Source organism: Homo sapiens, chromosome 19 (genome assembly GCF_000001405.40).
Source record: "Homo sapiens chromosome 19, GRCh38.p14 Primary Assembly".
Lineage (NCBI taxonomy): Eukaryota > Metazoa > Chordata > Mammalia > Primates > Hominidae > Homo > Homo sapiens.
In genome coordinates this window covers 16,432,473-16,447,273 of record NC_000019.10, presented here as the reverse complement: position 1 = coordinate 16,447,273, position 14,801 = coordinate 16,432,473, and the positions used below count along the sequence as shown (strand labels likewise).

Genomic DNA, 14,801 nt, shown 5'->3' with positions numbered 1-14,801 from the left:
GAGCAGTTGGAGAGAGCTGCCCATCCAGTCCAGGAAGGTTAGACATACCCCAGCGTTTCCCTGATGCCTTTTGAATGTTTTGAGTCAAGTCCCAGTTCTGCCCCGTGCTTGCCACATGACTGAGCCAGGTTATCTCACCCGCAGAATGTGGGCCGGCCTGCTGGGAGGGCTGGGCTCACATTGGGTGATGGTTGTGCAAGGCCTGTGGGGGCCTCTAAGGGGAAGGCAGAAATGGAAGGATTATCAAGCAAGCTCTACTCCGGGCTATGTTTTTGCATCCATATGTTTTTCTAAGTAGGAACTCAGACTGAGATGTGTTTCAGTGTTATATGCCTAACTTCCTGCAAAACTTGGCAGTGGCATTGAAAAACATAGCCATTATGGGGTCTCAGCTTTCCTGGGGAAATGGCAGGTCATCGAAAACACTGGCTTTCAAGTCCATTTATATGCTCAAATTGAGTGTTGCCTTTTGACCTCTTCTGTTTAATAAAATGCTCCAGCACGTCATCACGGACGTGCATTTTCCCAGGCCAGCATATGCATGAGGCTGTCCTGTGGTCCGGTGCACAGCCCTGTGACACCTGGGCTGTCATTACAGGGTGCACAGTAGGTGAGGGTCTGACTCCAGGACCACCTATCCTGGGTGCTTCACTGACTGTTGCTCATTGGCTGTTGTGGTCCTGAGTAGGGCAAACTCAGTTTCCCCACCTGTCAACTGGACTAGTAATATTACCTGCCCTTTAGCGTTGTCGGGAGGATGAGAGGTACTGGATAGGAAACAAGGGATTATAGGTACTTCTCTGAACATTTTACAGTGAAAATGGATTGCTTTCCAAAAGTCATTTTGAACCAAGGCTGATGATCATTGGTTTGTTTTGCACAAGAGCGCGTACTTTGCTAGCAGAGTGAGAGTGAGAGTTTGGGCAGGAGGCAGCCAGGCATGAAGATGTAGGAGGCGTCCTGCCCTCGGCCACGTGCGGGGATCAGAGTTGGGTGAACCCTGCTTAGGAGTCGTTAGAACACAATCCTGAGACAGTTTCTCCTCCGAGGTGGTTCTGCTGGGTTTCTCCATCTCAACTGCTGTTGTCCTGGGTTACAGTTACAGGCGCTTGTGTGAATTGCGGTGTTTTAAAGCCTTCAGAGCAGAAGGATGTGAACTTGTCCTTCTCCTTGTGCCCCTCTCTCTGTCATCCCACTTGTAAATTGTTTCTGGGCTGGAGGATAAGTGAGGAGGCCACAGGAACTTTGCATGTTGTCTCTTAGCATTTTGAGTTAGGAAGAGCAACTGAAAGACCGAGCTGAAAGCTACACTGAACCTCATCAACAATTCACACACTGCAGAGGCGAAGATGGCGTCTTCTCAGCACAGTGGGCTGGGTCAGGAGAACACATCGGGTCAGCTCTGCTGCACTTCCTTCCATTCCTACGGCCATCCTGGTGCCACCTGCAGCCTCTTACGGTGCAGGCCTCATCCCCTGGTGCGTCCCCTCTCTGCTGTTGCCTCGGGCTTGGCCCCAGGCTCACTTTGGGGTCAGACATGGGTGGGCAGCTCCAGAGGCTGCTCTCAGCATACAGAGGGCTCTTTCCCAGTAGCTGTGAATCTTCCTTTTGGGGGCCAAGAGGTCTCTGCACAGGGGCCAGTGACAGACTGCCTGGGGCTGGGGATTTATGTCATTAGCAACATGTGTCTTCAGTTCTGTCGCAATGACATATCAGGGCAGCGTGCAGGTGTGAGTCCATTGTTCCTGGGAAGAAGCCTGGCATAAGAGGAAGTGGCAGTTGGGGCCTGGTGCTGTACCTTCTTTCTTCCCCCTTCTGCTTTTGCATATGCAAAACCTGACATATGTGTAATTAGATCAAAACCTCTGACCACTGTCATTGTTCCAGGTTACCCAGATGGACTCCCGTGGTGATGAGCAATGGTTGAGCCATACTCCCTGGGCTTTCCCTCAGCTGTAGGTCTTTTGAGAGTGACATCCGGTGGTCATCAAGTGTTCGAGCCGGATGAGCCTTTAGCATGGATGGGCAGAGGTTGGAGCTCTGGGCTGTGTCCTTCAGCGACTCTTCTGGATTAGTCCAGGCCTTGTTTCTCTTGGTTGCGGATCTTGTTGCTCATTAGCGCCTGGGAAGTAGAGCAGATATTTAATAACCCTGCATGCCTCAAAGACTGAAACTCTTTTTTTTCCACTGGAATCACAGTAGCTTGGAAACCTCTTTCCCTTGCTTCCCATGAGATTGTTAAAAAACTCGCCTGGGGCTGGGCGTGGTGGCTCATGCCTGTAATCCCAGCACTTTGGGAGGCCAAAGCAGGCGGATCACCTGAGGTCAGGACCAGCCTGGCCAATATGGTGAAACCTCGCTTCTACTGAAAATACAGAAATTAAGTGGGCATGGTGGCACGCACCTGTAGTCCCAGCTACTCGGGAGGCTGAGGTAGGAGAATGGCTTGAATCCAGGAGTCAGAGATTGCAATGAGCTGAGATTGCGCCACTGCTCTCCAGCTTGGGTGACAGAACAAGACCCTGTCTCAAAAAAAAAAAAAAAAACTTGTCTGGAAATGTGCTTCAGATCCAGACCTCTCTGATCATTGGCAGGAAGGGCACCTTTGTCATCTGAAGTGAGGGCCTCTGGAGTCTGTGAACCCATGGCAGGCGATGTGCTGTTTGCTGCCTAGACCTGACCACTGTCACCTTTACTGACAGATGACAAACAGCCTGCCTGCCTTGGCCTCCTTTCTGTGGGTCTTCTTCCTCTGGGGAGACATATTTTGGAAATAAGCTGGAGTTTGAGCCCAGAAGTTGACACAGGTGTGATGGCTGGACACTGTCATCTAACGAGGTTGTAAGATGCTAAGGGTGATAGCCACTCCTTCCTGTACCCCTCACCCAGGAATGGTGTCACTGCCTCCAAGCACGAGGGGGGCAGCCATCTTGGGGCTGCTGTTGCTATACACACTTACCTCCTATGTCTTTTCCATGATGTCTTTGTCTGTTTTAAAATGATGGCTCCTAAATCTCTGGCTTTTCTTGCTTTTTCATGTTATTCTAGTTTTTTCTGCCTTTTCAGTGTTTCCCCCTTTCTTTTCCTCTTTTTTTTTTTTTTGACTTTTTCCCTCTCCCCTTTCAGATCTTTATGCTATTTTCCTTCTATTTTCATTTTGTCATGGTAGTTTTCTCTGTACTTTCACTTCTTTTTTTTTTTTTTTTTTTTGAGACGGAGTCTCGCACCGTCGCCTGGGCTGGAGTGCAGTGGCGCGATCTCGGCTCACTGCAATCTCTGCCTCCCGGATTAATGCAATTCTCCTGTCTCAGCCTCCTGAGTAGCTGGGATTACAGGCGCACACCACCACACCTGACTAATTTTCTGTATTTTTAGTAGAGACGGGGTTTCACTATGTTGGCCAGACTGATCTTGAGCTCCTGACCTCGTGATCTGCCTGCCTCGGCCTCCCAAAGTGCTGTTTGGGATTACAACTTTCACTTCTTTATACATTCACAGGTGTTGGCGTCCCCCAGAGACGCTGACCATAATCCGGGCATTATTATTTTTTTCTTTTTATTTTTGAGACAGAGTTTCACTCTTGTCACCCAGGCTGGAGTGCAGTGGTACGATCTCGGCTCACTGCAACCTCCGCCTCCTGGGTTCAAGCGATTCTCCTGCCTCAGCCTCCCAAGTAGCTGGGATTACAGGTGCATGCCACCACGCCTGGCTAATTTTTGTATTTGTTGTAGAGATGGTGTCTCGCTTTGTCATGTTGGCCAGGTCTCGAACTCCTGACCTCAGGTGATCTGCCTGCCTTGGCCTCACAAAGTACTGGGATTATAGGCGTGAGCCACTGCGCCCGGCCTGGGCATTATTTTTAGCTTCAAATGACCCTTTGTAGCACAACAATATGCAAGTGGTGGGTGCGTATTGGTTCAAATCCAATGACTATAACTGGAAGGAGTCTACGTCCCCCTGGTTTTATTCATTGTGAGAAATCGTACAACAGCAGTCCCAGAATTTGTTGGATAAACACTGTAATCCTGCCCCCAAGATAGTCCTCTTTTCCCTGCCCAGTTCTATTCTCTTTAGCTGTTTACACATCCATTCTGTATAATTAGGTGTCATTGTGCATTCTTCACTTTTATCGCTTATTACATCAGCGGCAGGTTTGTGTGCTCTTTTTTCACCTCACTTACTAAAACACCAACGCACGTAAACTTTTACAGCCAGCATTTCAGGGACTGCATAATTCCCCACCAGGTTGGCACACTCCCCTGGGTGTCCCTCCCCTTCCCTGGGAGACGTCTGGCAGAGCTCAGGACACAGCGGGAAGTGTCTGGACTTGGCCGCCAGCCAGGCTGGATCCAGGTGTGGCCTCTGGTGGCCCCGATTAGCTGCGTGACCCTAGATGGGGAAGTGACCTCCAAACAGCGATGTCTTGGGGCTCTGAGGTGTCGGGAAATGGAATATCTTCAGTGCCAAGCTGAGGACACTGCACTTCCTTCCTTCCCTGGTGGGAACAGTTACTGGCCAGCGCTCTCCGGGCGCGGGCTGGTCAGTGTGCGTCTCTGAGCACTCAGGTAGCTGGAGGAGGATGGATGGGATGGTTGAGAACCAGACCCAGGCCAGGGAAACTGGTCGAAAGCTTGCAGGCCTGGTGATTTATGATAATGCGTGGAAACTTCTTTTCTGATTCCGGAGCCAGAGAACAATCTCAGAGGATAGAGTGTCCTTTCCCTCTGAGCTCTCCAGGAGCTGAAATCCCTTTGCTCAGTGAATGGAAATTGACACTGGGCTGCTGCTGCTGTTTCCTGAGTGACTATATTGTTTGCCCTAGAATCAGGATTTATTAAAGAACATTAAGCTTACTTTTTCTAAATCAGGTAAGCATAATAATATCTGTGTCTGAAGATAAACTGAATTCTGTGTTCAGAGGATGTTTAAAGTGCATGCATTTTGACTCTAACTATCATCATATATTTTGGTCATGACAAAATTGAGGGGGCAACCCTTTTTTTCCCCAAGGGGTTGTGTTCACTTTTGACCAATATCTGTGGTTTCATTTACAGATTCCCACTGGAAATTCGTTGTATGAATCTTATTACAAGCAGGTAAGTTTAGCTGATGTCTCTTCAGATGGAACTAGAGCATGCCTGAGCTGAAAGCACAGTACAGAATAGAAGCCCGGCTGAGCGGCCTTTTGTCCTTTTCTGTTCACTGTCAGCGGATAGTTAGCGTGGCGGGTGCCACTTCACCTGCTGCTGCATTTGCTGAAAAGTTATTTTGCCTCTTGGTCTCCCATTTCAGGTCGATCCGGCATACACAGGGAGGGTGGGGGCGAGTGAAGCTGCGCTTTTTCTAAAGAAGTCTGGCCTCTCGGACATTATCCTTGGGAAGGTATGTGAAGATGAATAGTGATTTCTCTTCTGTGGCTGCCCTCACAGCTCCCCCCGCAGGTCAGGGCCAGCCTGTGCAGGCCTCCTTCCATGGGGCCCGGCCTCCTGGGTAGTGGCCTGGTCGCTGCAGACCTCTCAGGCTGCAGCTGGTGGATCCAAATGCCCAGGTGGCAGCCCCCACCACTACTTTGGTAGCAGATAAGAAACCCGAGTACTTTTGGGGTCTTGATAGCTTGTGGACTTTTTTTTTTTTTTTTTTTTTTGAGACAGAGTTTCGCTCTTGTTGCCTAGGCTGGAATGCAGCGGCGCGATCTCGGCTCACTGCAACCTCCTCCTCCCGGGTTCAAGTGATTCTCCTGCCTCAGCCTCTTGAATAGCTGGGATTACAGGCACATGCTACCACACCCGGCTAATTTTTTTTTTGAGACAGTCTCGCTCTGTCGCCCAGGCTGGAGTGCAGTAGCGTGATCTCAGCTCACTGCAAGCTCCACCTTCTGGGTTCACGCCATTCTCCTGCCTCAGCCTCCCGAGTAGCTGGGGCTACAGGCACCTGCCACCACGCCCGGCTAATTTTTTGTATTTTTAGTAGGGACGGGGTTTCACTGTGTTAGCCAGACTGGTCTCGCACTCCTGACCTCAGGTGAATCGCCCACCTTGGCCTCCCAAAGTGCTGGGATTACAGGCGTGAACCACCGCGCTTGGCCACTTGCGGACTTTAGTTGGGGGAAGAAGGGTGTCATAAACACCATTGGCTTGGGAGCTGAGTGCACCTGGATGTCCTCTGGGCCCTGCCGCTGACTGGCTGTGCGCCCCTGGGCAGATCATTCACCTGCTCTGAATTGGCTTCTTCATCTGCAGGACAACCTGGGGACAGTCACTCCTGCCCCGCAAGGCCAGTGATGGGGTGGTGGCGGCTCTGGTTTTTGTTAACACGTGGACAGTGATCGGCAGTCATGCTTATGAGCATTTTTGTGTTTCCGCAGATATGGGACTTGGCCGATCCAGAAGGTAAAGGGTTCTTGGACAAACAGGTATATACACATGTACACAGAGCAAATGGAGGGGCTGGGCAGAGCCCCCAGGCTGGGTGACCTCCACGGCTCCTTCCACATTCCTCCACTGTCAAGTATTACTAGGCATGAGCACGGCTGTCAAACTTAACACGGGAAGTTTTCATTTTGAAATAAAGGTCTTTTAAACACTTGGAGCCATCTTTCATGGCTAGTGTATCTTTTATTTATTTATTTATTTATTTTTCTTTTAATGTTTTGTAACCTTACATGTGATTAAAGTGTTGTCCAGACTTTTTATTTTGGACCAGTCTCTCGTGGAAGTTGCACAAATAGCTTGGAGGGTTCCTGTGTATCTTTTGCCAGCTCTCCCCAGTGATGGTGTCTTACATAACCACAGCACAGTGATCAGAGCCAGAAAATAACATTGGTGTTATTTTTTATTTTTTTGACATGGAGTCTCACTCTGTTGCCCAGGCTGGAGTGCAGTGGTGCAATCTCGGCTCACTGCAACCTCCACCTCCCAGGATCAAGTGATTCCCCTGCCTCAGCCTCTGGAGTAGCTGGGATTACAGGCGAGAACCATCATGCCTGGCTAATTTTTGTATTTTTAGTAGAGATAGTGTTTCACTATCTTGGCCAGGCTGGTCTCGAACTCCTGACCTCAGGTGATCTGCCCACCTCGGCCTCCCAAACTGCTGGGATTATGGGCATGAGCCACCACGCCCAGCCACATTGGTGTTATTAATGTAACAAAGTAGACATTGGTGTAACTTTGACTAAAGGCCTTAATCAGAGTTTTTTTTTTTTTTTTTTGGAGACAGAGTCTAACTCTTGCCCAGGCTGGAGTGCAGTGACATGATCTTGGCTCACTGCAGCCTCTGCCCTCTGGATTCACAAGATTCTCATGCCTTAGCCTCCACAGTGAAAACCCCATCTGAAAAAAAAAAAAAAAAAATCTGAAATCTGAAACTCTTCTGATACCAAGCATTTGGGATGAGGAATACTCAGCCTGTACTTATAAGTGATTTTAAGTGGTCGTAGATGGCCATTTTGTTAGAAGGGACCTTGTTTGTGCTGTGCCATGACTTGTGATCCAGTCTGTCCAGGAAGCCCCCTTCACTTGTACCTCCCTTCTTTGAGGTTCATGGTGCATGTCTGCATGTTTGTTGTTTTGTTTTTTTATTTTTTATTTTTTGAGCCTCGCTCTGTTGCCCAGGCTGGAGTGCAGTGGTGCGATCACTGCTTACTGCAGCCTCGATCTTCTGGGTTCAAGTGATCTTCTGCCTCAGCCTCTCGTGTACCTGAGGCCACAGGCACACACTGCCACACCTGGCTAATTTTTATTATTTTTTTTGTAGAGACGAGGTCTCACTATGCCCAGGTTGGTCTCAAACTCCTGTGCTCAAGCAATCCTCCCATCTTGGCCTCCCTAAGTGCTGGGATTATAGGCATGAGCCACCGTGCCCGGCCTCATGTCTGCATGTTAAAAGTTCTGAGAATTCCTATGGAAAATAAATTTGACTTTGCTTAATGCAGTTCCTCTAAACTTACTTAATTCCTTTTTCTTTTTTTCTTTACTATTTATTAATTTTTCTCTTTTCTCAGACCTTGCAGGGATGAAAGGTCCCCTTTTCTCAAAACCCTCTTATGATCCTCTACACTCTGCAAGGGCTTCTGAGGACAGCAGGCTGAGAAAGGCCGATCCTAGCACTTACCTCTTTGAAGACACTTTTAAAACTGTTAACAGTATTTATAGCTTTAAAAGTATCCATGTTCTTAGGCCAGTTAATAAAAAAAAAAAAAAACAGAAAAAAAACAAGCTAAGTGATCCCTCACAAGTCCACTGAGCCTTTGTGTGGTGGGTCCTGGGTTAGGAGGGAGGCACCTGACAGCCTAGTTCAACTTCCTTCCCGTGTCTAGGTGGGGTCCACGTCAGGCCACTGGGGGTGGGCAGGGGATGTTCCATTCAACGAGGCCGAGGGGATCGTGGTGAACCACAGATATGAGTTTCTGACCAACCGTGTGTATTTACGACTGCTTTAAAAAAAATTCAACACATAGCCAGGTGCAGTGGCTCATACCTGTAATCCTAGCTACTCAGGAAGCTAAGGCAGGAGGACAGGAATTTGAGACCAGCCTGGGCAACATAGTGAGATCCCACCTCTAAAAAAATAAATAAAAACTTAGCTGGGCATAGTGGTGCACACCTGTGGTCCCAGCTACTCAGGAGGCTGAGGCAGGAGGATCGCTTGAGCCCATGAGTTTGAGGTTGCAGTGAGCTGTGATTGCGCCACTGCACTCTGGGTGACAGAGTGAGACCCTATCTCTAAAACAAACAAAAATTCGGCACATATTTGGTCCATCATTCGTAACCTTAACCATGTTTAATTTTGTTGCTTTATACAACCTAACATTTCCTAAATGTTGGGAGCTCATAGTTTTTGGAAAATATATGCATCTGAAATTTTACAGATTTCCAGATGCAGTGGAATAAGTCCATTTTATTTTATTTTATTTATTTATTTTGAGACGGAGTTTTGCTCTTTTTGCCCAGCCTGGAGTGAAGTGGCATGATCTTGGCTCACTGCAGCCTCCACCCTCTGGGTTCAAGTGATTCTCCTGCCTCAGCCTCCCAAGTAGCTGGGATTTCAGGCACCTGCCACCACGCCTGGCTGATTTTTATGTTTTTAGTAGAAATGAGGTTTCGCCATGTTGGCCAGGCTGGTCTCGAACTCCTGACCTCAGGTGATCCACCTGCCTCGGTCTCCCAAAGTGCTAGGATTACAGACATGAGCCACCACACCTGGCCAGGATAAGTCCATTTTAGTGTATTCATTTAAGCGATGTCCCCAAGGTGAGTCCAGTTCAGCCCAACGCTCCAAGGGGTTTTTGCACGGACGGCCTTCATTGTTGAAGTGCACATCCTCTTTCCCTGAAGCCTGCTGTTAGAGACAGCTCCCCCTACCCTCACTGGCGATATGCTGTTTACTCCTTCCCTTTCTTTGGACTTGCAGGGTTTCTATGTTGCACTGAGACTGGTGGCCTGTGCACAGAGTGGCCATGAAGTTACCTTGAGCAATCTGAATTTGAGCATGCCACCGCCTAAATTTGTGAGTGTCCAAGTCCTTCAAGTTCACATTCTTCTAATACCAGATGTGTGTGTGTGTGTATGTGCATGTGTGTATGTGCATGTATATTTCCATGTTTTCTCTAGCCTTCCCCTTTTATTGTGGTGAAATTCACATAATAGAAAATTAATAATTTTAAAGTGAACTATTTAGTGGTATTTAGTGCATTTACAGTGTTGTGTCTTCATTACCTCTGTCTAGCTCCAGAACTTTTTCATCCCTCCGCAAGGAGACCCCATCCACATTAAGTAATCACTCCTTGTCTCCCCCTCCCAGTCGCTGGCAACCACTAATTTTATTTCTGTCAATGGATTTGCCTGTTCTGGACATTTCCTATCAATGGAATTCTCTAACATGGTCTTTTGTGTCTGGCCTCTCTCTCAGCATCGTGTTTTCAGGGTTCATCCATGTTGTAGAATGGATCAGTGTTTCCATATTCCATTTACTGGATGGACCACATCTTTATCCATTCATCTCTCTGGACATGTGGGTTATTTCCACCCTTTTGACTGTTGTGAATAGTGCTGCTACCAGCATTCATGTACAAGGATTTGTTTGGACATCCGTTTTTAATTCATTTGGGTCAATACGTAGGAGTGGAATTGCTGGGTCATGTGGTGATTCTGTGTTTAACTTTGTGAAGTCTTCCCTTTTTTGAAAGCACTTTGAAACGTGTATCCTTTTCAGCAAACCCACCCACCTATGATTTAATTCTGTGCCAGCCACAAAGGAATGTTTCTCTCTCTTCTCAGCACGACACCAGCAGCCCTCTGATGGTCACACCGCCCTCTGCAGAGGCCCACTGGGCTGTGAGGGTAAGTGAACGGGAATAGCTCCCTCCTTGGCTCTCCTTCAGATAGAATTGTTCCAGCAGTTGTTCTAGAATTGTTCTGGAATTGTTCTAGTTTGATGTTGTTCAGAACATTTTATAGGATGATTGTGTCAGCTCTTCTGTCTCAGTGTGAGTGGCCACAGCACTTGGATGAAACGCCTCTTCTAATGAACACCTTTTACAAAGGCTGTGGCCCTTCACTGGAATTGGGAGTTGCCTACCTGGACAACTAAGTGTCAGGAGTTGGATTATTAAAGGGCTGCAGTTTAAATCTTGCATCTTTAGGTCACATTCTGTGGTTTTTGCTGCTTGTGTTGGTTATTCAGAATAGAAGAGGAAACGGTGAGAGCTTGCAAGCACGTGGACCCCCAAATGTGTCCCTTGCTTTCTCGCTTCTTTCCAGCCACTTTGCATGTTACCATTCTTTCCTCCCTGATGTTCTGATTGCTTTGTGAAAAGCCTCTCTCAGCACTTGAAGTGTTATTTTTAAAACAGAGGATGTTGTGGCTGGAAAGATAAGCTACTGCGTCCAGAAAGAAGAAAAAAAACGAGGGCTGTCTTCTAAGTACAGAATTCCTTCTAAAGGAAGTGAGCATGGTCCCTCCAAGTAACATCAGGCCTCCTCACCTTCCCTTCACTTTCAGACTGTCACATTTCCTCACGTTTATGTGGCTTAAATCCTGACATGAATAACACTCTTGCTCTCAAATAAAGGTCCCAAGCACTTTCGTCCCATGTTTACACGGTTGGTTTGCTCCCTTCTTGGAGAGGTCATGGGCTGGGTGGGGGTATCTGTGCAGGGAGAGGACATGAAGATATGTCATGTGACTGAGGAGTCATGCAGTCACCTCTGTCATCAAGCACTTTGCCAGTGGCAATCACTGTGGTGAAGGGTTTCTCCCTGTCACCCAGCGCATTGTGTGGACTTTGAAAAAGAGCTACTTTGTCATGGGAAACAGTGCCAAGAGATCTTATACTTTAAAATGTGATGGCTCTTTTCCACCAGGGGTTATGTCCAGGCCTCACTGGAAGAGCTGGGACTGAGGGGCCTGGGGACCTCGCAGAGAGGAGTCAGGGAGCACAGGACCAGATGCTGTAATTGGGGTGTACTGTGGTCGAGAGAGATTCTGCATTCCATTCACAGCCACAGTCAGAAAGAACAAGCCCGAAGTGCCAAGTGTTTGTTTCCGTTGTGAACATTTCTGGGCTTCTGAAGGCACTGAGTCAGCAAGTCCGATGGCCAGGAGAGGATCCCAGGCCCCCGAGAAAGACCTGCAGCGCTCAGCTTCTTAGCACCAACAGCTGTGAAAGCATGCGGTGTCTGCCGGTGATCTCATCTCTGTGACTGAGGGCTCTGTCTTGGTTTTTGTCTTTTAAAAATTAAAAAATTTTTATTGTGGTTGAAAGACACATCATGTAACATTTACCATCTTAACCATTTCTAAGTGTACAGTTCAGGAATGTTAAGTTTCCTTTGGAGGGTGGAACAGACTGGAAGCCACTGCCTCACTCATGGCCCCTTTTACGGGCTGCCTGCCCTATGTCTTTCAGAACAGCAGGAACTGTGACTCCCCATCCTAATGCTGTACCTTCCCTCTGTTCATGAAGAGCTATTCCTATTTACGTATTAATTTATTTACCATTAGAAATGGAGGGCTTCCTGTATGTGGCTGGGCTTGGTGGCTCACACCTGTAATCCCAGCACTTTGGGAGGCCGAGGCAGGCGGATCACTTGAGGCCAGGAGTTCAAGACCAACCCGGCCATCATGTTGAAACACCATCTCTACAAAAAATACAAAAATTAGCCGGGCCTGGTGGCGCATGCCTGTGATCCCAGCTACTCGGGAGGTACGAGTGCTGAGGCACGAGAATTGCTTGAACCTGGGAGTCGGAAGTTGCAGTGAGCTGAGATTGTGCCACTACACTCCAGCCTGGGCAACAGAGCAAGATTTTTGTCTCAAAAAAAGAAAAAAAAAAAAAAAAAGAGGACTTCCTGTACTTTAAGTTGATTTTGATAATTATTTGCTCAAGCACTAACATCTGCTCACACTTTTGTCTTTCTGGTACAAGTGGGCTCCTTGGAGGCAGGTGAGACTGATCTTTGTCTCCCTGCAAAGACACTGCCCCACCATGGGAGACTCCTGCCACACTCAGGCAGCAGCTAGGACGAAGGACAAGACCCGGGGCCAGGGCCTCCCTCCTGAGGACCTTGGCTCCCAGATCCGAGGTTGCCATAACGTTATTTCCTTCAGGGTATATGTTCACTTTGGAAACCAAGGGGCCAAGACTGTTCTAAGATCATTTTGTGCTTTTAGCCAAGGGTGATGATGGGTCCGTGGCCATTTTCACTTGGCTTTCGGTCAGAGCTCGGTCTGGACATTCACACAGGTGTGCTCTCCTACTTACTCGGGCTATTTCTTTCCAACTAGGTGGAAGAAAAGGCCAAATTTGATGGGATTTTTGAAAGCCTCTTGCCCATCAATGGTTTGCTCTCTGGAGACAAAGTCAAGCCAGTCCTCATGAACTCAAAGCTGCCTCTTGATGTCCTGGGCAGGGTAAGTGGGCCACGGGCTTGGTTCTTCTGCACTCAGTGTCCCTGCTGTGTGTGGGCGCCACTGTTCTCTTTCCCCATGGTGCTTACAAGGCTCTTGCTCTGTTTTCTCCCTGTGCCATCAGGGGCTTTCATCAGCGCTCCTGTGGGTCCAGCCCCAGCTGGCTCAGGGCTTCCTAGGGTGTGGCTTACAGTGTTCACCCAGTCCCTGGGGAAGGTGCCAGAATCCTTCCACTTCACAGATGAGGAGGTGGACTCAGAAGTGAAATTGCTGCCTGGGGCTTTGGGACCAGTAGAGCTCAGTCTTAAGCTCCCCAACTTGGGCTTTCCCCCTTTCCATTGTGCTGAATGTGGGAATGTGTGTCTGTGTCTATTTATTTATTTATTTATTTATTTATTTATTTATGAGATGGAGTCTTGCTCTGTTGCCTAGGCTGGAGTGCAGTGGCACGATCTCGGCTCACTGCAACCTCTGCCTCCCCGGTTCAAGCAATTCTCATGCCTCAACCTCCCAAGTAGCTGGGATTACAGGTGCATGCCACCACGCCCAGCTAATTTTTGTATTTATAGTAGAGATGGTGTTTTACCATGTTGGCCAGGCTGGTCCCAAACTCCTATCTCAGATTCACCCGCCTCGGCCTCCCAAAGTGCTGGGATTACAGGCGTGAGCCACCACACCCGGGCTTTTTTATTTCTTTTTTTGAGTTTTTAGAGATGGGGTCTCACTGTGTTGCCCAGGCTGGTCTCGAACTGCCAGGCTGAAGCCATCCTCCCACCTCAGCCTCTGGAGTAACTGGGACTGCAAGAGCACCACCACTCCTGGCTCTTTTCTACTATTAATTACTCTTTTTCTTCTGATAAAGCTCAAGGTAAAAGTATTTTCAACTCTGCTGCAAATTTAGGAAAAATTTTATGCATTCTCTTTAAAGAAAGTCTTAGCCTGGTGCGGTGGCTCACGCCCGTAATCCCAGCACTTTGGGAGGCCGAGGTGGGTGGATAACTTGAGGTCAGGAGTTCGAGAACAGCCTGGCCAACATGGTGAAACCCTGTCTCTACTAAAAAAAAATACAAAAATTAGCCAGGTGTGGTGGTGTTCGCCTGTAATCCCAGACACTTGGGAGGCTGAGACAGGAGAATCGTTTGAACCCAGGAGGTGGAGATTGCAGTGAGCTGAGATTGCACCACTGCACTCCAGCCAGGGCAACAGAGCGAGACTCTGTCTCAAAACAAAAACAAAAACAAAAAAAACCCTCAATTTAGGCTGGTGTGGCGGCTCATGCCTGTAATCCCAGCACTTTGGGAGGCTGGGGCGGGCAGATTACTTGAGTCCAGGAGTTTGAGTCCAGCTTGGGCAATATGGTGAAACCCCATCCCTACTGAAAAAAAAATACAAAAAACTAGCCAGGTGTGGTGGTGCGTGACTGTAGTCCCAGCTACTCTAGAGGTTGAGGTGGGAGAATCACACCTGAGCCTGGGAAGTCGAGGCTGCAATAAGCTGAGATCGTGCCATGGCACTCCAGCCAGGGCAACCGGATTGAGACTCTGTTTAAAAAAATAATAATAATAATTAATTTTTTGTTTTGTTTTGTTTTGTTTGTGAGACAGAGTCTCGCTCTGTCACCCAGGCTGGAGTGCAGTGGCATGATCTCAGCTCACTGCAACCTTTCCTCCCAGGTTCAAGCAATTCTCCTGCCTCAGCCTCCCGAGTAGCTGGGATTACAGGCATGCACCACAACAGCCGGCTAATTTTTGTATTTGTATTTGTATTTGTATTTGTATTTATTTATTTATTTATTTATTTGAGACAGAGTCTCGCTCTGTTGCCCAGGCTGGAGTACAGTGGCGCAATCTCTGCTCACTGCAAGCTCCGCCTCCTGGGTTCACGCCGTTCTCCTG

The 14,801-nt window shown here is 48.2% G+C and overlaps 1 protein-coding gene across 13 annotated transcripts in view, besides 6 other annotated features; it reads left to right on the top strand.

The window, feature by feature from the left end:
* Positions 1-14,801, top strand: part of EPS15L1 (epidermal growth factor receptor pathway substrate 15 like 1) — a 116,766-nt gene that overhangs the window by 24,739 nt on the left and 77,226 nt on the right. For 11 of the 13 annotated variants that reach the window (NR_047665.2, XM_017027089.3, NM_001438225.1 and 8 more), the window contains exons 2-7: positions 5,055-5,096; positions 5,293-5,382; positions 6,365-6,412; positions 9,409-9,504; positions 10,275-10,337; positions 12,784-12,909. Coding sequence is in view for 11 of the 13 variants with exons in the window: in XM_017027089.3 (XP_016882578.1) it covers positions 5,055-5,096; positions 5,293-5,382; positions 6,365-6,412; positions 9,409-9,504; positions 10,275-10,337; positions 12,784-12,909 (465 nt within the window). In the remaining 2 variants the exon portion in view is untranslated. Of the gene's footprint in view, positions 1-5,054; positions 5,097-5,292; positions 5,383-6,364; positions 6,413-9,408; positions 9,505-10,274; positions 10,338-12,783; positions 12,910-14,801 lie in introns of those variants that run through there. The other 2 variants (NR_047666.1, XM_047439174.1) reach the window with 2 other exon arrangements.
* Positions 1,308-2,507: an enhancer, noted in NCBI's record as "CDK7 strongly-dependent group 2 enhancer chr19:16555578-16556777 (GRCh37/hg19 assembly coordinates)". NCBI's record gives its function as "activates an origin of replication core promoter dependent on BRD2, BRD4, P300/CBP, MED14 and CDK7 cofactors, with strong dependence on CDK7, by STARR-seq in HCT116 cells {active_cell/tissue: HCT116}" and the evidence as "EXISTENCE:reporter gene assay evidence [ECO:0000049][PMID:35650434]".
* Positions 1,324-1,383: an enhancer, noted in NCBI's record as "active region_14234". NCBI's record gives its function as "activates an Ori minimal core promoter by ATAC-STARR-seq in GM12878 lymphoblastoid cells {active_cell/tissue: GM12878}" and the evidence as "EXISTENCE:reporter gene assay evidence [ECO:0000049][PMID:35858748]".
* Positions 1,494-1,573: an enhancer, noted in NCBI's record as "active region_14233". NCBI's record gives its function as "activates an Ori minimal core promoter by ATAC-STARR-seq in GM12878 lymphoblastoid cells {active_cell/tissue: GM12878}" and the evidence as "EXISTENCE:reporter gene assay evidence [ECO:0000049][PMID:35858748]".
* Positions 2,610-2,789: an enhancer, noted in NCBI's record as "active region_14232". NCBI's record gives its function as "activates an Ori minimal core promoter by ATAC-STARR-seq in GM12878 lymphoblastoid cells {active_cell/tissue: GM12878}" and the evidence as "EXISTENCE:reporter gene assay evidence [ECO:0000049][PMID:35858748]".
* Positions 5,212-5,712: an enhancer, noted in NCBI's record as "H3K4me1 hESC enhancer chr19:16552373-16552873 (GRCh37/hg19 assembly coordinates)". NCBI's record gives its function as "activates a minimal SCP1, AML or CMV promoter by ChIP-STARR-seq in primed H9 embryonic stem cells {active_cell/tissue: H9 hESC(primed)}" and the evidence as "EXISTENCE:reporter gene assay evidence [ECO:0000049][PMID:30033119]".
* Positions 5,713-6,213: an enhancer, noted in NCBI's record as "H3K4me1 hESC enhancer chr19:16551872-16552372 (GRCh37/hg19 assembly coordinates)". NCBI's record gives its function as "activates a minimal SCP1, AML or CMV promoter by ChIP-STARR-seq in primed H9 embryonic stem cells {active_cell/tissue: H9 hESC(primed)}" and the evidence as "EXISTENCE:reporter gene assay evidence [ECO:0000049][PMID:30033119]".